Here is a 24,775-nt window from a genome sequence, read left to right on the forward strand (position 1 = left end):
AGGAGTGGTCAACTGGGTCATGTTTTGGAGAAGTCAAATAAGGTGAAGACAGAAAGATCTCCACTAGTTCTGGCAATATGAACATAAAGGGTGGCATGAGCAAGAGAACTGTGGCTTAAGTGGTGGCAGCCAAGTAAGATTAGAGTGAAGAATGAATGAACCACTCATAAAGTCCTTAAGAAAACTAAGAATAGAAGGAAACTTCCTGACCTTGATAAAGCATTATCTATCAGAAACCTACTGTAAGCATCAACTTAGTGAGGAACGAATATGAGCATTACCACATTTTATTTCCTCCAGTACTGCGCCAGTGGTCTCAGCACAAGGCAAAAAGGCAATAAAAATAAATGAGATACTATCTGCATGATTCAAATTAATAAAAGGGTTCCACAAGCTGGCTAGATATATAATATCCAAAAGCTATTCATTAGCAATAATCAAATGTAAAAGAAAATAGGAAAAAGGTCTCAGTTGGATAACAAAACTACACAAGACCTTTATGGGGAAAAGCGATAAACCTTTACCAAGGCCTGTGCCAGGAGATGCCCTGGGAAGCGGATTGCTTCAGCTATTGGCGACAATTCCTTCTTCATCTGGAAATTCATAGGCTTGATAAACTATCACTAGTGTTTCTAGAAGATGGTAACATGTGACCTTGGTCATTTCATCCCAGAGAAAGTTTATTATAAGTTACAACAAACGAAGAATATGTAAAAAACAAAATGTTCTGCAAAACATTGTTTTATTATGAGAAATTATACAGGGCTCTTACTTTTTAATATTTTTATGACAGTAGAGGAAGCCTGCTGCTTCTCAGTAAGGATCCCAAACAATAAAAGCTGGACTTGCCTGTTGCCACTAGTCCATTATCCCAAACCGTGGGTAGGCCGCTTGTCATCTGCCTCTCTATGACAGAAAGGGGGATGTATGTGCCACTTCAGCTTTTTAATCAAATGAAGGAAACCATATAAGCAAAGGGTTGAGGAAACAGTGTAGGTACTTATGATACTATTATTTAACATCTAGTATTATTTAACATCTATTATTCAGTGAGCCATGACTGTGCCACTGCAATTCTGCCTGGGTGACAGAGCAAGATGCTATCTCAAAAAAAAAAAAAAAAGGCCGGGTGCAGTGGCTCACGCCTGTAATCCCAGCACTTCTTTGGGAGGCCGAGGCGGGTGGATCACGAGGTCAGGAGATCGAGACCATCCTGGCTAACACGGTGAAACCCCATCTCTACTAAAAATACAAAAAATTAGCCGGGCGTAGTGGCAGGCGCCTGTAGTCCCAGCTACTGGGGAGGCTGAGGCAGGAGAATGGCATGAACCCAGGAGGCGGAGCTTGCAGTAAGCTGAGATCGCGCCACTGCACTCCAGCCTGGAGGACAGAGCGAGACTCTGTCTCAAAAAAAAAAAAAAAAATTTCCCCCCAATAAATGTATAACCCATAAATTCAATTTAATCTTAATTAAAATTTCCAGTGGCTCTTTGATGAAGTTAACAAGAATAGGGCCTTGCCCTACTAGATATCCAGTCTTAGAACAGACAAATAAAGCAATGGAAGTGTTGTGGGGGCATTTTAAAGGGAGAAAATAAAGGATGAAAGATGGCCTTTAAGCTGGGAAGAAGGAAGTAAGGTTTATACACACAGCAGAATATTATTCAGCCTTTAAAAAGAAGGAAATTCTGACACATGCTACACCATAAGGTGGATGAATCTTGAGAACATTATATAAAGTAAAGTAAAATAAGCCAGTCACGAAAGGACAGATATTTATAATTTCACTTATGAGGTACCTCGAGTCATCAAATTTATAGAAACAAAATACACTGGTGGTTGTCAGGGGATGGGGGATGGGAGAATCAGGAGTTATTGTTTCCATGTGTGGTGACTGAAAAAGTTCTGTTGATAAAAAGTGGGGATGTTTGTATAAAAATGTGAATGTACTTAATACCAGTGAATTGTACGCTAAAAAAGGGTTAAGATGGTAAAGTTTATGTAATGTGTATCTTATCACAATTTAAAATTTTTAAAAATATAAATGACAGGAAAATATTAACTGAAGTTAAGGCAACATTTATTTGATTTCCTTATAATCATATTATCTAAGGCAGAAGTGGTGGTTACTTGGCAAGAATACGATTTCTTTTAATGTCTTCTATAGTTGAGTTTTAGCTCAGAAATACATCATATTTCACTGGTTCAAATCTGAGAGAATGTACTTCTAGCATGGGCTCCTATTCATGATCAATGCATTTTTGTGTCACCATGGCTTGATCAAACTTAATCACTGTTTCAATGGCAGGGCATGGCCAGTTGTGGCAGCTGCTCTGAAGGTCACTTGTTTTACTGTGGCCTGGCCAAGTAGAGTAAGGATGGGTCACAGTGAGCTCACTGGTCTCTTCAGGCTGTGCTCTGAATGATGACAGCAATACCTTGGCCACCTCCAATGCAAGCTGATCCAACGGCATATTTTCCACCTCGACGCCTGAAAAAGAAAGCAGTGACTGAAATCTACTCTAATAAAAAATCAGATTAATGAAATAGAACTAATAACATCACATCTGCATTACTCATCCTTATTCAGCTCATCTGCTCAATCTTTTCCCCAGTCCTCAATTTTGGTATAATTACAACAGGCAACAGACTTTGGAAAGCTGAAAGTTTTTAATCAAAAAAAACAAAAAACAAAGAACAAAAACAAACACCAGAAGAGGGAGGCAAACTAAAAAGGAGATGAGTGGATTTAGGGTTATAGAGTAGATTTAGGGTATATGAAACACATACAGAAGCTTGTGTGTGTTACGGGAAAGGAGTGAGAAGAGGAGGTAACTGGATAAATGGGAAGCTGGGGAAGGGGATGAACATTAAGCTCCTTTGATTTATATATTTGATTTATATAGTGTGAGAGCCTCATGGCACCTTAGAAGAAATGTAATTAATAAAGTTTGTCCCTATGAAAGGGCAGATAATTTAGAAACTATCCATGTCCCTTTCATAAAAATTAGACTCTTTTAAAGTACTCCTCACTCCTAATATGATGACTTCGAGAAAATTATCCAGGAATTACTTTTGTATGTGGCAATCACCTATTTCAACTCAGGGAATCATTAAGTGAAATAAGAGTCACATTTCCCCTGGCCTAACAGGGAGTCAGAGTAATTTTTCAGCCTGACTTACTTGGTTTTGTTTGCAATTTTTCTACAGAGCAAAATATTCCAAAAATAGAAGAGCTCCTCCTTCTGGTACTATCTATCAAAACTGAAAAGCACCAAACACCCAAAAGGTTCCTCCTGGAACCCTGCAAGCAGTGAAAAGAAAAACTTAGACCCAAATGTCAGTTTGCTTAGATTTCATAAATTATGGCATCTAGATCAGTACTCACTCAGTACTTTTTTTTTCTAAAATAGATTTATTTTACTCCTGTAACTGGCACTAAAATACAAGTGCCATGAGAAGCAGGGCCTCATTATCTGCTCATGCAGTGAACACAAGCTGAGTGGGGCACACAGTGCACAGAGACTGGACACACAGAGGAAGAGCTTGGTTCTTAAGTGCAAAGCCACTAACAAGGTGACTGACTCATCTATGAGACCAGATGAAAAGCACTGCCCAAGTAACTTGTTCCTGGTAACAGCCAGTGCAGGAGACATGAAGAAGAATGAAAAATGTTGGAGTGTTCTGGGGAAGCCTAAATCCATGCATTTCTATAAAAAACAGCAAATCTGAAATGCAGCTATTTCTAGCAAATACCTTAATTCGTGAACCAGGTGTGCAGTAATTCTTGATCCAGATCCTCCCAGTGGGTGACCCAAAGCAATGGCTCCTCCATTCACATTGGTTTTACTTATGTCAAGATCCAAACTCCTCTCAACAGCCAAGTACTGGGGAGCAAAAGCTTCATTCACCTTAAAACAAAAATTAGAGCACTAACAAAAATCCTTACTCACAAACTAATTTTTAAATGAGAATGGTCCAGTCCTATCAACAGCTAAGTCTGCTGTTTCTTCCTATTTAAATTACCTCGCAAAGTTATTTTATCTACAATCATTCTGCATAAAGCTATCAGGTTTAAAATGTGTATATTTACTAAATAATACTTTTAGTCAAATGCATCCCTTAGAGGCAATTCTCAGTAATCCCATAAATTGACACATACCAGACACAGTGGGATACTGTAGAAAGCCCACAGGTTTTAGAACTGGATGGATGGTTCAAATATTGGCTATACCATTTGTTAGGGTGTGACCTTATGCATATTCTTTAAACTCTTTAAATTCACGTTTCCGCGTGTGAAAATGTGACTGTGGTATCATGCTAAGAGTCACTGTCACAGTTAGATAAAATCATGAGTATTAAGTGTCCAGTGTGTTACCTGAAACATGGCAAGTACTCAATAAGTGGTTGCAAGTATTATTATTATTATGCAGTACTAGGAGCTATCCTTCCAAGAAGCTGACACACAACAAAGAATAAACCTTCAAAGCCACGTACATAAAGGGAACAGTTACTATGTTGAAATGTGGCAGAACTGAAAAGTATATTATGTTATACTTACACAAACTGGCAATTACCTTACTTCAAGTTTACAGTACTGTATTATCATATGATCTTAATTCAGGAATTTTATAGATAAGGAAACTCATTCTAAGAAAGGTAACTTTTGCAGAGTTGGGATAAAATTCAGTCTTGTGCTCTTTCCTACTATACTTTGTGGTCTCTCAAGATGGTGCCTCATATGTGCTTAGATCCACCATTATCTTTCTACTCTATATACAGAGCCATCTTCAAGGAGGTACTAAGAGACCTAGAATAGGTAGTGAAACTAGGCTTTTGAACCTAGGAAAACTATGGTCTGAGTTATGTCCTTGAGAATGTATACATTTCCAAATGATTATGAACAACTTCCCAAAGTTGATATAGTTTAATAGTTTTAAATGTGAGGTCTAAAGTGAGAAATTTAGTGGTACCTATTTGCTGACACAAATATAATAAATTAAACAGCCTCTTTGAGGCTCTGAACTGTGATCTGCTAAAAGTGGAAGAGATTTAAAGATAAACCATTTGTCTGAAATCATGGTTTCCTGTGTGAGAGATTATCATAGAGGAAATCACACCTGTGCCTACCCCTTCGCTATCAAGTTAAATAGATTTCCTTTGTTCTATTAGTTATTTCCCAATGCCAGGCATCACATGCTTAATCACCTAAAATTTTCAAATAAATATTCCAAAAGTGTGGAATGTATATAACCATCTTTAAATGTTTCTCCACCTCTTCTTTTAATTATGCTTAAGACACTTTAGTTCTAATACTAACATTTAAAAAGAAATCACTCAATAAATTTAAGTTCCAGTGTCAAAAATTATGATAGGTGCATCCCAAATCAAGCTACAACTATCGTATAAAAGCCAAAGATACATTTAAGGGAGGGGGCTCTATCTGGCGAGAAGGGCAAGAAACTTGTAGATTTGGCACTAAATATTGCTTTTCTATTATGTCAATTATTTTACATATATTTTTTCACTTTAATATTCAACAGGCATGTTAATAGTCTAAAATGTAACAGTTTTATAAAGTAGTAAGAAATTCCCAGGAATTTATACTTGAGTAAGAGAAATCAGGCAGTTTGAATATTCAAATATAAATAAAGCATGTTAACCAGGTGGGGAAAAGTATCAACACAAGGCATCTAATGAAGGTACTATTTATTTAGATGTACATCATTTGGAAAGGCTAACTACAATGAAATTCAAAGAGCAATGAGACCAAATTAAAGTCATTTATGCTATAAAAGTACATGGTTTATTCATGTTGTTAAAAAAAAAAAAAAAAAAAAAAACACTTACCTCTACCAAATCCATGTCCTTAAGACTCAGTCCTGCTTTCTTCAGTGCCCCACTGATAGCAGGGACAGGACCTATATAATAATAAAAATCTTCTATAAAAATATAGAAATAAATGTCATCTTATATTTACGTATCAAGCTTCTCCTTCTTTCCAAGTAAGGAAGAAATAATGCGGCAGTTATTAGTAGCCACAAATCTTACTACCTTGACCGTACCTATTAAATGAAGTGACCATAAAGAGGCAGAAAAAGGGCCCAGGCATGGTGGCTCATGCCTGTAATCTCAGTACTTTGGGAGGCTGAAGTGGGAGGATCACTTTAGCCTCCTGGGCAACACAGCAAGACCCCATCTCTAAAAAAGAAAAAAAATAATAATAAAAATAAAATGGAACCAAGGTGAAAAGTTGTTTATACATTCAAACTGCAGATAAGAGAATTACATGAAAAGTTCTACCATAAACGGCTTTAAGATTGAAAACAGCCAAAGGAGTCCATATATGGGATTTTAGTTATGTTAATAGATTATAATTGATATCAAAGAGCAAGGCAGACTGAGTGCTCTACTTGGGATCCAAGCCATATGCATTCACAGCACAGAAGTTACTGTGGCTACACTCTGAATTTTCAGGCCCATTTGGATAAAAGACAAGAAATAGCAGTATCTCCACATGGGCACAGAGAGATGGGAAACTACGAGGCACTTCAGGGAAGGTTTTATGAAGTAAGGTGATGTTTACAACTCCAAGGGTAGGCAGGAAATTTAAATAAAACATAACTCCTAATTTAAGAAATGCAACTCCATCTAATAAGACTTCTGAAATAAACTTTAGCTCCCAGATTTCTGATGATGTAATGAGAGTTTAATATTGCTCATAATTTAAATCCATATTTTTTCTCAAAAGGTAAAAAATTTGGGTAGAGAAGATTATCTACTTCTCGACTTGTTCTTAAAGAATGAAACTGCCAAAAATGTCTACAAAGAAAAATATGTAGTATGTTCTGCTGAATTCAAGTAGTCAAATATTCTGCATCAAGTTTCACAAGCATTTTACCTTATAAAATGGAAAATCAGTCTTTACAAGAAAGGCATAATGAAACCTAAATATAATATTTATTTTGTCACGTAGTTAAAATACTCTTTGGACAACAAACCACGTGCTTATTGATTAGGACTATCCAGTTAATGCACTTCAATTTAAAATGCCAGTTTCATGTGGCTACTGATTTACTACAGCTACTGATTTACTACAGGATCTGATTCCAGATTCTCTTTGTATGTCTAAAGCATGAAATCATGAAAATGAGATGGGTAGTCAGTAGTAAAGCATCAGTTATCCAGCCTGGTGAGGGGATGAAGTAGCCAACAGTGGTGACAGACACATAAAAGGTGGACAATGTTCAGACCACTGTACACACTTCCTTGTCTGCATAAACAACACAGCAAGCATGACTCGTACTTTCACTTTAACTCAGAATCCACCGTAACAATATGCTAGGCCATAACTCGATTTTTAAAGGACTCTTCCCAGACCACTGTTATTTACTGGGACTTCAGGAAGGTTTAGTATTCTTGTTAGGAAAAGGAGACCTTATTTCTAGTCCTGGTTCCTGTCACTAATAGCTGTGCGACTTTGTGCATCTCTCTGGGCAACAAGCTACTCATCAATAGCACTCTGAATGGGTTTTCCACCTTTTTCTCTTTAAGCATCAGAATTCTTTTTGCATATGATGCCAAGTAATAGATAATGCCAGACTGCTCCAGCTGAAGAGGCTCAAAGTTCCACCCACCAACCTCTACCATTGCCACCCCTGAGGAGTTCCAGGGAGTGCTGTCTTTCTATAGCTGTGTATTTCCTCAGAACCAGTACTATTCTTTTCAAGTCATGGCTTTCCCCGTTTTTTTTTGGTCTGCAGCTATTCTGCAGGGCTAAGGATTGCTAGTCATTAGGTAATCATGGAACTGAGAACCACTATTCTTGTAAGTTAGATTAACAAACCAGTTCCCACTAGATACTTAATAACTTATTCTCCCCACTTATTCATCTGGGATGCTTCAACGAGTTACTTTGTTTAATCCCATCACTATATACAAGTGACAGCCAAACTTCTAGATGAAGGGGGCAGCTGATACTGTGGGACATCTGGAATGTACAGCTCTGTTCAAGCCCCGAGGAAAAATGACAATCCTACCACAGGAGCATTCTTTGTACTTTAGGGCAAATATTCAGGCCCAGGAACAGAAGGAAGGAAAACAACGCTTTCTTGGTTCACTGGCTATGCTAATCTACCAGAACCTATTAAATAAAGTTAAACTGAAAAAGGAGTATAAAATAGCCAACCCATGTCACATACATTTGTTTGATCATCAAAAGCATCTAGGTGTATGCAGGAAAAAAACCAACTCTGCTCTTGGGCTGGGCATGGTGGCTCACGCCTGTAATCCTAGCACTTTGGGAGGCTGAGGTGGGCGGATCACCTGAGGTCAGTAGTTTGAGATCAGCCTGGCCAACGTGGAAAAACCCTGTCTCTGCTAAAAATACAAAAATTAGCCAGGCGTGGGGGCGGGCACCTGTAATCCCAGCTACTGGGAAGAATGAGGTTGCAGTGAGCTGAGATCACGCCACTGCACTCCAGCCTGGGTGACAAAGCGAGACTCTGTGTCAAAAACAAAAAACAAAACCAACTCTGCTCTTGGGCTCCACTCTGGACTTACTGAAACAAAATCTAAGGGTGTGGGGGTTATGAGTGGATTCTGACAATCATCTGAGGTTGGGAACCACTACCCTAGATATCAAAATAATAAATGCCATAACAACATACGGATGTTTAATTTTTCCACCACCTTCCATTTCTAAGACAAAAGTTATCTTTTGCCAATAGTGGATAGCCAAAAGCTAATAAGCTTAAGATTGACTTTTCATATGTGTCAAAATATCTTGCAGTTCTTGCTGACATAAATTTGAGACACATAGTGAAAGATGACAAAATATGAACATGCCAGCTTTTTTTCTTAGGAACTCTATACAGAGATATGTCTTCTCTGAGGGACATGGCAGCAAATATGGTTGAGTATTAATCCCAAGTCAGTGTAAGTGGTATTGTTTGAGTAGAACCTGTAGGCTTACACTGAAGGATCTCTGAGATGGCAGGTCAGTAACAGGTTATCCTCCTCCTCCTCTCTTGGAACCCACCTCAGAAAACAATTTAGTTATTCAAAAAAGGGCTAAACAATCTGAAATCTATACCCTAGGGCAGGCTTTTCCTTACAGTGGGAGGTTATATGTAGGTGGGATATATCAAAGTTACTGAGCACCAAATTTTATTTTTCTAAGTAAGGCACCTAATTGGTTCCCTGTTCCCCCAGAGAATGACAGGAACTATTAAAATTCAGCATCGTGTGTGGTTCCTAGGAGTGCATCCAGCAAAAAGCTCTTTGTTCTACTTCTAAATCAAATATTTTAAGCCAAGACTATACATGTTTATGGACTTCCAAATTTTTTCCATCTAGCATTTTACCAATCTAATTATAAGTCTTTATTTTGCTAATACTCACCTGAGCAAGAGGAATATTAATTTGACTTCCTGAGACTATGCGTTTAACTCACAGTGAAGAGAGCACTTGATTTCAGAGAGACTTGGATTCACACCCTGGCTGTCACTTACTGATTTGGAACCTTGTAAGACAACCTCCCTAAGCCTCAATTTTCTCATTCACAAAGAAGTCTCCCTTACTGGAGACGTGGGAAGACTGAATGTGTGTAAAACAACCAGCAAGGAGCTGCGATACCACCTTCTCCATACAGCCTTCTCTGTTTCACCCCAGGATTTCTCCCATCTCATAATTTCTTTTATCTTGTCAGGATCACGTAATTCTTCTGTTATTTTCTGTGTTGATTTCTAAACTCTCAAAGGAACAATAAGATATAATTACTGTGTGTTGATTTTTTAAATCTCAAATGGACACTAAGATATGATTACTTCCTCCATGGAGTTTACACGGTCTTGGTTTTTCTATTGTGTCTAGGACAGTTCTTCATAAAGATTTTTTATTTAAACTGATTACCAATCTTCTTTTCTCTACAGGTGACCTTGGTTTGGCCACTTTTTCAGGACTCTGAATGCCAAAGAAGACTTACCTCCAGAAATATTATAGAACCAGTTTGTTTTACTATAAACTTACCAATACCCATGATAGAGGGATCACATCCAGATACAAAGTAGCCCACAATTCTTGCCAGTGGTGTGAAGTTATGTTTCTTAACAGCATCTTCACTAGCTATGATAACAGCTCCAGCACCATCAGCTACACCCTTGAAAATAAAAATACTAGATTAACTAAAGGCTAAAATAATCCAGTTAATCAAAGTTTGAACTAATGGACTAGTAGTATTAGGAATATGGCAGTACATAGGAAGCCAGTGCACAGTGTGAGATACAATTAGAAAAGTGGTACTGTGGTGGATGAAGGAGATTTTTTAAGGCACAGAATACAACTTTACTAAAGAACAAGGAAAAGGGTGTCAAGGAAAAACTTTTATCTAGATGTGAGTAGATGTAAGAAGAAATACGATAAACTGTATGCATGAGAAAAAAAAAAGTTTGAAAACCAAAATAAGCCAGATAGATTTGTTTCTGAAATTTCTTAGTTCTGAAAAAATTAAGAAATCAGAAGAGTATTATATAAATAAATATGAAAAGATTTTGTGTGGGTCTATGAAAACCTAAATTAATTGAATATGAACACTATTAGTTTAAGCTAAACAACTAAAGACTGGCATAAAAAGTATTTACAAGATACTTCATGATTACTTTTGTTGAACACACCAGGAAGAATTCAAGCTAATCTGTGTGGTGATACCAACCGATGCATTCCCTGCAGTAACAGTTCCATCTTTCTTGAATACTGGAGGAAGTTTCTGTAACTGTTCCAGGGTGGTTTGGGGCCGAGCATGCTCGTCTACCTGCATTGTCTGTTTTCCTTTCTTTGTCTTCACTTCAATTGGTGCCATTTCATCATTAAAGTAGCCAGCATCATTAGCTGAAAAATAGTAGAGAGACTATCATAAGAATAAAAGAGAGAAACATGAAAATAAATCAAACATATTATTCAATTTAATTTCTGATCTACCTTTTCCTCACAGTCTACTTTAATATTGAGTCTTTATTAATTTTTGAGATGGAGTCTCACATTGTCGCCTGGGCTGGAGTGCAACGGCACAGTCTCGGCTCACTGCAACCTCTGCCTCCCGGGTTCAAGTGATTCTCCTGCCTCAGCCTCCCCAGTAGCTGGGATTATAGGTGCCCACCACCATGCCCGGCTAATTTTTTTTATATTTTTAGTAGAGATGGGGTTTCTCCATGTTGGCCATGCTAGCCTCGAACTCACCACCTCGTGATCCACCCTCCTTGACCTCCCAAAGTGCTGGGATTACAGATATGAGCCACCACGCTCAGCCTGAGTCTTTACTATTTACTTACACAACTTACCTTCCGTATTGGAGGATTTACGATACCATCATGTGTTTATGTAGTTGCATTTTGCATCTTTTAAAAATTATAGAGTCTTTACTATTTACTTACACAACTTACCTTCCGTATTGGAGGATTTACGATACTGTCATGTGTTTATGTAGATGCATTTTGCATCTTTTAAAAATTATATTTTTAAAAATTATATTTTTTTAACCACAATTTTTTTTCACCAGGTACTGCTAAGACTGTTAGCAGCATCTGTCTGTTTGCTATAGATGTAATGGCAATAAATGGACTTAATACCCCTTTTAAACTTCTTTTGGTGAGATAAGCAATTAAAAAGTTACCAAGTTGTCTATGCCACAAAGTAATCTAACTGAAACTTAATAGTGATAGGCAACCTGAAGAAATTATGGGAGCAATCACTAATACAATTATAAGTAAAACATCTTACCTACTTTGACCTCCACTGACTAGAATGTACTGTAGTAATCTATAGCTTTGGAAATAGGGTCAGGAATAATACTAACCTTAATTTTCATATCACTTTACAATTGGCAAAATACTTTCCTTATATGCCCTTATTTGGTTTTAAAACAACCTTATTAGATAAATAGGGAAGGCAAATATTGTTATCTCTATCTTACAGAGGTTCAGTGAATAAATGATATGACTGAGCTTGATAACTTGTGCGTGGTAGAAGTAGAAACAGAACTGATAACTCTTGACTTCTAGACCAATCCTCTTCCACTATGAACATATAAGTAAAAAAACACACGAGTTAGATGGCATCAGCTCTATTCCACTTATCCTTCTGAAATGCTAAGATGGACTTTATCCTCATTACTTCAAGCATTTAATATTCCTAAATAAGAGTTTCCACTTGCTTTAACAGTTTAATTTTTTAAATATCACATTTCTTCAACTTGCTGCACTGCTAAAAGAACTGCTGTCACATTTGCCTGTTTTGGACCGGCTCTATAGCAACCTGCTGTGCTACACCAGGGCACTCTAACTAGAGTCTCGGACTAGTTCTAAGTCTCTGAGTTAGGTACAATGATTCTTAATTAGGAGTGGCAGAAGGAAAGCATAAAAGACCCAGTGGGTCTTTTCCAAATACATTACCCCTTCTTATGATTATGATATGGCTTGTGGGAGAGGACATCCTCTATATTCCAGTTGCCACAGTGAGCTATCACCTCTGACAGAACGTATCGTATTCCTCATCATGTTCTACTGACAACAGGACCAGTTCAGCACAAAACTCAAGGGTCCATCTAGGGTCAAGTAGCAATACCACTTTTTAAGTAGTACTAACTTTTTCAAAAGAGAAATTCCTAGTTAATTTTGCAATAATTAATAAAATATCTGATCATCTAAAGACAAAGGAATAATGAAAAGATGTAATAATTCTTAAAGGTATGATTTGTAAATATTATATAACCATAATAGAAATGATGAAAATATTTCCTATAGATATTTATTCTATAGATACTGATACTTTCCAGTTTCACTCACCAGCTTTCCATCTCTGCTGTGACTGCAGGGCATATTTGTCACATTCTTCTCTGCTTATTTTGTGTTTTACAGCAAGATTCTCTGCAGTCATTGCCATGGGGAGCTGGACATGCTGATCTGTTAATGATACCCATAAAGAATCTTCCAGCTATTAAAAGACATTAATAAAGTGACTTGTTAAGGCATTTCCTTTTAAAAGTAATATGTTATAATTTCTTTAAATAATCAACACTTCCAATAAACAAAAGTAAAATTAAGACTTTCTGATAACCACTATTCATATTCAGTTATGGGATATTTTTTAAAAACATGCAATGTTTTTGAAAACATTCAATGTCACAAAATAAAATGCACACATTCTCTGTCCCTCTCTAAATGTGGGGGTCTAAGAACAGCTAACAGGACTAGACGTGCATGGTGAGATCACAGAAGTTACCCTACGATCAAAAATTAAATCCTCAAGGTCATATTTTGTAGAAAACCTGACAATGAGTCTTCATGCAATGTTTTCTTATAGCCATCTTTGTAAACCAGCCCTGAGCTCTGTAATAAACAGTATTATCTGTTTTTCTTTTTCATCCTGCGCCTCAGTGACAGGAATAGCTGGTTCTATCGGTTACTATGAGGCTGAAAAGATCTTGGGACAGGTTCCCAGAGTTACAGAAAGGTTGTTAATTATTATTCAAGTAGTTAGTCTCTGGTAAGTGTGCCCCACTTTGCTGCCTCATCAACATTTAACTCACTGACCTGTCTTCATAAAAGATATCTCAAATGTGTTTGGTGGCTAAAATCCGCATAGATTCTCTTAAGTCCCATTCCTTTCAACTTCCAAAAAGGCCAGGTGAGAAACTGGGTGAACAGTGTGAGTCAAACATTACTATAGAAAATGCTAAAAAATATAAAATGTCAGTAGCCCTTTCACATGGGAATGAGAAGAAAACATCATTCTTTATCAGTACTGTACCATCATTCTCAAGTTGTAGCTCTCAAAGATAAAAGAATCAGTTTTTGTTTGATTTGGGACAATATAATCTGTATTCAAAGATGTTTTCTGTGATGATGAAGAAATCTATTCTGAGACTGTCCCAGAAATAAAACTTCTATAAGTCACGTTAAAGATTTAATTACTCAGATTACTAATTGTTTAGTAGTGAGATTAATTCACTCTTTTGTCTATCTTTTTAATCCACTTCTTCCCTTCCTCCATCTCTCCCATGCCTATGGCCACTTACACAGGATAATTATACTACTAGAGGTCTGCTGAGATAGATAGAATCTAATTTCATATGGGTTAAAATGTCAAAACTAACCACCAAAATAGAGTTTTGAAATAGTTTACAAACTTCTAATCATTCATATCTTGCCAATCCTCATCAACGAAATTGGCTTCAAAATTAGTTTTCTCTCCCATAAAAAGGTATGTTATTAAAAGTACTTATATAATGCTAATAAGAACTAATTCTTTTAAATTTTTATGGTTCCAACCTTGATATCTGATCCAAGCTTGGTTCCAAAACGCACATTTCTGACACAGTAGGGAGCTTGGCTCATGCTTTCGGTTCCTCCACATAAAACAACTTCAGCTTCTTTAACACAAATTTCCTATTTAAAAACAAACAGTAATAAAAACTCCTTTTACCGTACCCAAACAATGTATTAAGAAACACACTGATTTTACAAATTAATGGTAAATCAAACAAATATTGTACTGTAGCTTACAGTGTCTCAAAAGGAAATGCTTTTAAAGTAACTGTAAAGCAAATGCTAAAGTATCCATTACCAAGATGTAGGAGGAGAAAACTAAAAGGTTTCAATCATGTTTGCCTGAGTAACAGGCCCTACCTACATGTGGCTAAGAATAGTAATTCTTAACACAATATAAATCTTGAAAATCAACAGATATTAATACCTGGCATAAATGTACAGCAGATAATAAAGGACATACCCTTTAAAAAGGCAAAAGAAAAATTTATCCCATTAATGGATGTATCTGAACAAGAACAGAGATTTACAAGAACTAGTTCAATCTAGGTGACTCATAAAAAGGAAACCACTTCATTCTTCCAACACTTTCCACTGTTTGCCTTTCTCAGAAAAGGAGCAAATAATGAGCCTCTATGAACCTGATGGTTCTTAAAATTATTACTAGGAAAACCGAGGTCACTATTTAAGATATATCGTTATAGAAACAAATTAATGTGAAAATTGTTTTATTAAAATACGCCTCTGGCTCTTATTTTGTTTGTAATAAAATGAAGACTTTTACAAATGAAATTGGATTTCACTTTCTTCTCTGTGCTCAAAGAAACAAATGTATTTAACCAACTGTCCTTTAAAAAGGTCAAACTAGTTTGTACTTCTACTAACAGCATCATTCACTTCCTTTGAAATAAAATACATTTCCTTATCCTCTCCTAAATTCTTGAGATTTCCTGCTTGCCTCACGGTCTTTATTCAGTGCCTCACAGGTAACACTCACAGACCTGGGTTCAAATTCTATGACTGAGTAACCTTAATGGCTTTAATCAGTTTCCTTGCCTGTAAAATGGGAATAATAATAATAGTTCTTGCTTCATAGGATGGTTGTAAGATTAAATGAGATATTGAATGTAAATCTAGCAGGGTGCCTAGCATGTAGGAAGCACTCGAAAGAATGATGAACATACTAGCTTTTAAAAATATTGAAGTATATATATATATATAATACTTACCATTTTAACCATTTTTAAGTATACAGCTCAGTAGTTTAAGTGTATTCATAGTGTGATGCAACCATTACCATCACCCATCTCCAGAACGCTTTTCATCTTGCAAAACTGAAACTCCATATCCATTAAACACTAACTTTCCCTCACCAGTCCCTGGGAACACCATTCTACTTTCTGTCTCTATGAATTTGACTACGCTAGGTATCTCAAAGAAGTAGAAACATACAGTATTTGTCCTTTTATGACAGGCTTATTCCACTTTCAGGTTCATTATTAGCTTTTTTTTTTTTTTCTTTTTTTTGGAGCCAAGGTCTCACTCTGTTGCCCATGGCTGGAGTGCAGTGGTATGATCATGGTTTACTTGACCTCCAGGGCTCAAGCAATCCTCCCTAAAGCTAAAGTGTTATATTGCAGTGGGACATTTCTTCTAGTAACTATTAACATATTTTCAGAGAATTTAAAAAAATGTTGTCCATACCTGACATCCATTCACAATGGACTGAAAACCAGAACCACAGAGCCTATTAATCGTGAGAGCTGGGGTCTCCTTTGGGATTCCCACACGCAAACCAACATGCCTTGCCAAATATATAGCATCTGAAGAACTCTAGAAGAGAGAAGGAAAAGAAAAATAATTTTCTCTATAAATCTACTAATTAAGAACAAGCACGAAATACATGGAAATGTTGGCAATCTATCAAAAATGATAAACTATATGGCTCTAAGGTAGGACAAAATGCATCTAAGTACAGCATATTATATCTAATATGTGTTTACAATTTGAATAAAAACTACAGTCAATTGGGTTTTTTTCTATTTTTTTATTGGGGCAAAATACACATAACAAAATGTATCATTGTAACCATTTTTAAGTGTATAGTTCAATGGTATTATTTAAATACATTCATAATGTTGTGTAACCACAGTCAATTGGTTTTCAAATATATTAAAGATAATTGCTACTTAGAGAAATCCCATTAAGTCCTTAATATAAGACAGAAATTTATAACAATTAGAGTTATTTAAAAATGGAATACGCTATCCTAAAGTAGTATGCTCCTTAACAGAGGAAGTATCGGAGGCTGTGGTTCTCAACCTTGGTTGCAGGCTGGAATAACCTAGGAAGCTTTATTAACATACTCATGCTTAAGTTCCTAAGCAAATCAATTAAACCAGAAAGGCTGGAGGTGGGGCCTGGGCATCAGTAGTCACTTTTAAAAAGCATCCCAAGTAATTCTAATGTAAAACAGGCTGAGGACTGCATACTTAGGGAGAAGACAGATGAATGATTGGTCAGGAGAGTAAGAGGTAGGAGTAGACCACCACTCCCAAAACTTTAAAATGCATATGGGGGCGTCTTGTTATAATAAAATGTAAGTTCTGAATCAACAGGTCTAGGTCTGCCGGAGATTCTGCATTTCTAACCATTTCCCTGGTGAAGCTGATGTTGCTAGTCCAAGAACCACACTTTGAATAAAAAGAATGACTTAAAAAAAAAAAACCAACAACAACCAAAAACATTAACAGCCTGTTTTGGAGGCTGTTAGCAAGAGCAAAAGCAAGTTTGACAAAATGTAAAACATTGGTCTATCAAGGTACGGGGTTTTAGGATGTTCATTGTACTATTCTTTTAACTTTTGTGTAGGTTTCAAGTTTTTCAAAACTTGACAAATTCGGCACATTTATAAGTTAAGGGTTTTGAATGCAGATGGAACTGGGAGGAACTCAGTATAACATCAATTAATCTACTAACTAAATGTTTCATCTGTTGACTGAGATGAAATTATCTTATTTTACAAATTAATGTCATTAAAAAAATTCTTGGCCAATGGATATTCTTTTGCCAAGGTTTGTCAAATATCACATATCAACAGAATAAAAAAAATTTACACGATCATCTCGTGTAAATTATTAACAGATAAATATTTGGGGTTAGGCCTTTATGGTTAAGAGAGAACAGAATATGCTTCGAATAACATTTGACAAATACCACAAAGCTGCTTTTCTAATTGAGTTTAATATTATTAAATATCACTTGGAATAAATGAGTTTTACTTATTTCTTAGGAAACAATGAAATCCAATGTGGATTTCAACACAAAAAGTCAACAGAAAAAGTATTTGACAAAATACAACACCCTTTCATGACAAAAACACTGAACAAACTAGGAACAGATGGCAACTTTCTCAATCTGACAAAGGGAATCTATAAAAAATCCACAGCTCTCCCTCTCCCCCTCCTCCTCCCCCTCTCCCCACGGTCTCCCTCTGATGCCTAGCTGAAGCTGGACTGTACTGCTGCCATCTCGGCTCACTGCAACCTCCCTGCCTGATTCTCCTGCCTCAGCCTGCTGAGTGCCTGCGATTGCAGGCACGCGCCGCCACGCCTGACTGGTTTTCGTATTTTTTTGGTGGAGACGGGGTTTCGCTGTGTTGGCCTGGCTGGTCTCCAGCTCCTAACCGCGAGTGATCCGCCAGCCTCGGCCTCCCGGGGTGCTGGGATTGCGGACGGAGTCTTGTTCACTCAGTGCTCAATAGTGCCCAGGCTGGAGTGCAGTGGCGTGATCTCTGCTCGCTACAACCTCCACCTCCCAGCCGCCTGCCTTGGCCTCCCAAAGTGCCGAGATTGCAGCCTCTGCCCGGCTGCCACCCCGTCTGGGAAGTGAGGAGCGTCTCTGCCTGGCCACCCATCGTCTGGGATGTGGGGAGCCCCTCTGCCTGGCTGCCCAGTCTGGAAAGTGAGGAGCGTCTCTGCCTGGCCGCCATCCCATCTAGGAAGTGAGGGGCGCCTCTTCCCAGCCGCCATCCCGTCTAGGAGGTGAGGAGCGTCTCTGCCCGGCCGCCCATCATCTGGGATGTGGGGAGCGCCTCTGCCCGGCCGCGACCCCATCTGGGAGGTGAGGAGCGTCTCTGCCCGGCTGCCCCATCTGAGAAGTGAGGAGACCCTCTGCCCGGCAACCGCCCCGTCTAAGTGAGGAGCCCCTCCGCCCGGCAGCCACCCCATCTGAGAAGTGAGGAGCCCCTCCGCCTGGCAGCCACCCTGTCTGGGAAGTGAGGAGCGTCTCCGCCCGGCAACCACGCCATCCGGGAGGGAGGTGGGGGTCAGCCCCCACCAGGCCAGCCGCCCCGTCCGGGAGGGAGGTGGGGGTCAGCCCCCGGCCGGCCAGCCACCCCGTCTGGGAGGGAGGTGGGGGGTCAGCCCCCCGCCCGGCCAGCCGCCCCGTCCGGGAGGTGGGGGGGTCAGCCCCCCGCCCGGCCAGCCGCCCCGTCCGGGAGGGAGGGAGGTGGGGGGGTCAGCCCCCCGCCCGGCCAGCCGCCCCGTCCGGGAGGTGAGGGGCGCCTCTGCCCGGCTGCCCCTACTGGGAAGTGAGGAGCCCCTCTGCCCGGCCACCACCCCGTCTGGGAGGTGTGCCCAGCAGCTCATGGAGAACGGGCCATGATGACCGTGGCGGTTTTGTGGAGTAGAAAGGGGGGAAAGGTGGGGAAGGGATTGAGAAATCGGATGGTTGCCGTGTCTGTGTGGAAAGAAGTAGACATGGGAGACTTTTCATTTTGTTTTGTACTAAGAAAAATTCTTCTGCCTTGGGATCCTGTTGATCTGTGACCTTACCCCCAACCCCGTGCTCTCTGAAACATGTGCTGTGTCCACTCAAGGTTAAATGGATTAAGGGCGGTGCAAGATGTGCTTTGTTAAACAGATGCTTGAAAGGCAGCATGCTTGTTAAGAGTCATCACCACTCCCTAATCTCAAGTACCCAGGGACACAAACACTGCAGAAGGCCGCAGGGTCCTCTGCCTAGGAAAACCAGAGACCTTTGTTCACTTGTTTGTCTGCTGACCTTCCCTCCACTATTGTCCTGTGGGCCAAATCCCCCTCTGCGAGAAACACCCAAGAATGATCAATAAAAAAAAAAAAAAAAAAATCCACAGCTATCATCATATGTAAAGTTGAAAGGCCAGATGCTTTCCCCCTATAATCAGGAATAAGACAAAGATATCCATTTCTTATAACTTCTATTCAACATTGGAGATTCTAGCCAGGGCAATTAGGGAAGAAAAAGAAATAAAAAGAATCCACATTGGATTTCATTGTTTCCTATGAAATAAGTAAAACTCATTTATTCCAAGTGATATTTAATAATATAAAACTCAATTAGAAAAGCAGCTTTGTGGTATTTGTCAAATGTTATTCGAAGCATATTCTGTTCTCTCTTAACCATAAAGGCCTAACCCCAAATATTTATGTTAAGCACTTAACATCCTTACAAGAAAACTCTATCTTGGCCTGACAGAAAACTTAACACAAGAAAAACTGTCTTTAGGAACAGAGGCACAAACACAATGAAACTGATACTATTTATAGTGACTTTGTGTTATAAAGTTTGAGAGAATACATGCTGGGAAAAAAATATTTTTCCTTCAAAATTCTAGAAAACGCAAAAAACGGAAGTATCCAATTTCTATTCAATCTGTTCTAATGCCTTCTTAGGTCAGAGGTAAAAGTTACAAAATAAAATAAAAAGAACAAAAGACAATATTGAGAATTCTTTATGAAAATATTTTAGGTTCAACAGACATAACTGCCAAAGGAAAAAAGTCACTGCTTTTTCTGGATGTGAAGATACACAACGGCAAGATGAACAGCATCAAGTTCAAATGCAAGGCCTAGTGACTTCTGTGTCCATTGTCATTCTCTTTCCTTTAGCAATGATCACATCATTGACATCTTTAAATATATGTATCATATATATATTTGTGTGTGTATATATGATACATAAGATATATCACAGAAACTGATCATATATATATATATATATATATATATATATCTTATCTTTTTCATTAGATTATTACCTCCTTTTGGTCCACCTTGGGTGCCATAGCACCTATAATAGCCTCTAACTAGGTATCCAACAAATGTTTGTATACTTTAAAGGAATTCTGAATTTTCAATTACCTGCATATGAATGATTGATTTTGTACATCACACATAGCAAGACAGAGGGTAAGGAAGCATCTTATTTCTTACAACAAACACTGATCAAGCTCCTACAATGTGTAAGAAAATTAGGGGAGGTGTGCTGTAATGGCTTGGGTTTACTAAGGTGGCATATAGAGAAGATCAATTAACTTCAAGTAAGCCAAGGAAGTCAATCTGCTATTTAGGAAGCACTGAAATGCATCCCAAGTCAGACATACAGTTTCTAGAACATATGATGCTTTGAATTATGCATGCTGTTGATTCTGGAGTCACAGAATTACTCAAATTACAAACGTATAAAGTCTGTAACTATTGGCTGGGAGTGGTGGCTCACGCCTGTCATCCCAGCACTTTGGGGGGCCGAGACAGGAGAATCACGAGGTCAAGAGATCGAGACCATCCTGGCCAATGTGGTAAAACCCTGTCTCTATTAAAAACACAAAAATTAGCTGGGCTTGGTGGCACACGCCTGTAATCCCAGCTACTCGGGAGGCTGAGGCAGGAGAATTGCTTGAACCCGGGAGGCGGAAGTTGCAGCGAGCCAAGATCGCACCACCATACTCCAGCCTGGCGGCAGAGCGAGACTCCATCTCAAAAAAAAAAAAAAAAAGTCTATAACTATTATTAACTTGTTTACCATTATGATATGTTAAAGGAATTATTTTTAGAAACTGATCAAAGAAGCAATAGGAGTGAACACCTTCCTTTACTCTACTAACCTGCAGGACATTGCCCATAATCACACTGTCAACTGTTTCAGGTGAGACTTTGCCAGCAGACAAGGCAGCCTTGGCAGCAAATTCAGACAAGTCAGTAGCAGTGAAGTCTTTCAGAAGGCCTCCGTAAGCTCCAAAGGGCGTTCGCTTAGCAGCAACTACAAACACACCTATTGCAACAAGAAGAGATTTGTAAGCCATCACAGGTTAGTAAATACCTCTAAATGCTTCGAATAATCTCACTGTGAAACCTTACACAATTTAAAATTAGATAATGGAAATTTCTGTTAGGCAATAATACCTAGAACAAGTCATACCCATGGAAGCAGAGTCTTAAGGACTACCAGTTTGACAGTTTGATCTTTACCTACATGCAGGTACCAAGAACTGCACTGCATGCTGTTAAGGAAGAAGACCACCACTTCTCCTGCGCACCCCGCCCCCCTTGCCTAGTTTATAAAACAGGAGGAAAAGAAAAAAGCAAAAAGTTAAAAAGAAACAGAAGTAAGATAAATAGCCAGATGGCCTGGTGCCACCACCCGGCCCTGGTAGTTAAAATAATAATAATAATAATAATAATAATAATAATAATAATAATATCAATCCCTGACCTAAACTACTTGTGTTATCTGTAATTTCCAGACATTGTATGAAAAAGCATTGCAAAACTTTCTGCTCTGTAAGCTAATGCATGTAGCCCCCAGTCACGTTCCCCACACTTGCTTGATCTATCACCATCCTTTCAGGTGGACCCCTTAGAGTTGTAAGCCCTTAAAAGGGCCAAGAATTTCTTTTTGAGGGAGCTCGGCTCTTAAGACGCAAGTTGGTGGATGCTCCAAGCCAAATAAAGCCTCTTCCTTCTTTAATCCAGTGTCTGAGGAGTTTTGACTGTGGCTCGTCCTGCTACACTGTGATGTAAAGCCATTCTGGTTAGACAACTTTCTTGTTCTCTGATGCTTCACAATGCTAGAAACATATGTTGAGAACTAAAATCCTTCTTCTATGTGCTGGAGTATATTGCCTAGTATTAGAATAAAAGAATCTCCAAACTAGAAGGTGCCTTAGGGTTGTCTGAGGTCAACCACTCACTCTATAAGAACTACCTCTAAAAATTCCTGACAAAAGGTTCTCTCTAAACCTCTGCCAGGAAACTTTCAGTAAGAGGGCATACTCTACTGCATGAAACAGTGTGCTGGTCATGGACAACATAAACTAATGATATTGCTTTTTTTTTTTTTTTTTTGGAGACAGAGTTTTGCTCTTGTCGCCCAGGCTGGAGCGCAGTGGCGCGATTTCGGCTCACTGCAACCTCCGCCTCCCGGGTTCAAGTGATTCTCCTGCCTCAGCCTCCCGAGTAGCTGGGACTACAGACACCCACCACCAGGCCCGGCTAATTTTTGTATTTTTAGTAGAGACGGGGTTTCACCATGTTGGCCAGGCTGGTCTTGAACTCCTGACCTCAGGGGATCCACCCACCTCAGCCTCCCAAAGTGCTAGAATTACAGGCGTGAGTCACCCACTCCCGGCCCCAACGAATGATATTTCTTTATATTGAACTAACTCAGCTTACAAAGTCTTCCATCCACCAATTCTAGTTCTCTCCAAAAGCACCAACACAGATAGAGATGTAGTTTCTAGAATATATGCTGCTACCGGTTCTAGAGTCACAGGATGACTCAAGTTACAGACTTCAAATAAATAACCTGAACTATTATCTTTTACTCTTAGAAAAAAAATGGGCAAAACAGGTTACCTTCTACATGTGTATCCCCCACCTCCAGTATCTGAAGTCAGCTAACCTGTAAGTCCCCAAACCTAGTGACTCTCATCTCAGGTAAATTAAAGGCATTCTTTCAATAGTTTTTTATTTGACATTAATTCTGACTGCTTTCCTCTAAAGACACTGTAGTTTGCCAACATCCTATTAAAATGTGTCCCTTAGAATATAAGAATATAACAAAAATAGCATGCATTTTATCTAATCACAAAGAATAGAGGAATTATCTATACATCTACTAATACAAACTAAGACTATAAATTTGCAGCATCACTATTAGTTAAATCGGTGTCCTTGTACAAATAAATAAAAATCACCCCTTCCCAATCACCTACTACCATCTGCCAAAAAAAAACTTGTGACTATACAAATATATGATTATGATGTGAGTGGTACCCACTCATCATCATTAGAGCTGTACAGTGCAAAACCGGCATATCAGTAAGCAGCATCAGTTATAGCCATTTCATCATATTGACATTCATTAGGTGTCTACTAAATACTAGACATTTTATCACTTTCCACACAAAAGCTAATCTTCCCAGCAACTCTGCAAGGTAAATATTATAGCTAACATAGAGGGGACACTTACTATGGAATAGACTTCATGCTAGCACTTTGCATATACTAACTTTATTCTCTCCAAGACAATCTAAGCTCACATTTCCACATCTTGTCAAGAAATTATGGGACTTTCGGCAATGGGTTTGTGATAAGATACTGATCTACAAATGAGACTATTCAAGCATTATACCACTACTGGTATCTAAGTATAATCTTCCAGTTTATGATCTCTTTCATCAAACAAACCAAGCCTAGCCTAAAATATTTCTATTTCAACCTCTCTTTTCATTCCTATTTTGAGAAATTTGCAGTTTAAAGGAATATTAGGAGCAATATATATAACTATAATTTAGAACAGATCCACTCAGTTTTTTACAGATACAAATTCAGATAGTTACAAAAGGCCATAAATACTAGTCGAGTGCATTACAAACGTTTTGTTCTGGTAAATTGGTTATTCTGTACCATGATGCCTTCCTGAATCTTTTCAAGTTTCCTTTCATCCTCCTTCCTTAACAGTCTCTGCCTATTTTTATATCAGTGTTTTCTTTTTTTTTTGAGACAGTCTTGCTCTGTGCCCAGGCTAGAGTGCAGTGATGTGATCACAGCTCCCTGCAGCCTCGACCTCTGCAGCCTCGACTTTCCCAACTCAAGTGATCCCCCTGCCTCAGCCTCCCAAGTAGGTAGGACTACAGGCATGTGCCACCACACCTGGCTAATTTTTACCTTTTTTTCTTTTTTTTTTTTGTAGAGATGGGGTCTTGCTATGTTTCCCAGGCTGGTCTCGAACTCCTGGGCTCAAGCAATCCTCCCACCTTGGCCTCCCAAACTGCTAGGATTATAGGCATGAGCTACTGCACCTGGCCTATCAGTGGTTGCTTTATTTCATTCTTCTTTCCTCTTTCCATGCCTTCTTCCTAATTTCATTAGTTCTGCTTCTGGTCATGGCCTACTATGCTCCTATCTGACCAACCCTCCAACAGATAACAATGAAAAACTCCAGACAATATATAAGAACAACTACTACCTGACGGTCTTGGAAATGAACAAAACTAGACAGGTAAGGAGAAGAGTTGATACTTAGAGGAAGGGAACAGAACAGGGTAAGTGTCCAATTTATTTATAGCAACTAACTTGAAGACTAACAGTCCATGATGCATGGAATGGCTAGAACTCAGAAACAGTCTTACT

General features: G+C 38.7%; 1 protein-coding gene across 1 annotated transcript in view; it reads right to left on the minus strand.

Moving 5' to 3' along the window:
- Positions 1-723: 723 nt before the first annotated feature.
- ACAA2 (acetyl-CoA acyltransferase 2) overlaps positions 724-24,775 on the minus strand; it is a 31,370-nt gene continuing 7,318 nt past the window's right edge. Inside the window, exons 2-10 of the mRNA NM_006111.3 lie at positions 21,247-21,413; positions 16,026-16,154; positions 14,325-14,441; positions 12,840-12,987; positions 10,712-10,887; positions 10,030-10,159; positions 5,851-5,921; positions 3,757-3,911; positions 724-2,491 (exon numbers count right to left, since the gene is read on the minus strand). Of these exons, the coding sequence (NP_006102.2) occupies positions 2,407-2,491; positions 3,757-3,911; positions 5,851-5,921; positions 10,030-10,159; positions 10,712-10,887; positions 12,840-12,987; positions 14,325-14,441; positions 16,026-16,154; positions 21,247-21,413 (1,178 nt within the window). The 3' untranslated portion in view covers positions 724-2,406. The remainder of the gene's footprint in view (positions 2,492-3,756; positions 3,912-5,850; positions 5,922-10,029; positions 10,160-10,711; positions 10,888-12,839; positions 12,988-14,324; positions 14,442-16,025; positions 16,155-21,246; positions 21,414-24,775) is intronic.

Source organism: Homo sapiens, chromosome 18 (genome assembly GCF_000001405.40).
Source record: "Homo sapiens chromosome 18, GRCh38.p14 Primary Assembly".
In the NCBI taxonomy this organism is placed as follows: Eukaryota; Metazoa; Chordata; class Mammalia; order Primates; family Hominidae; genus Homo; species Homo sapiens.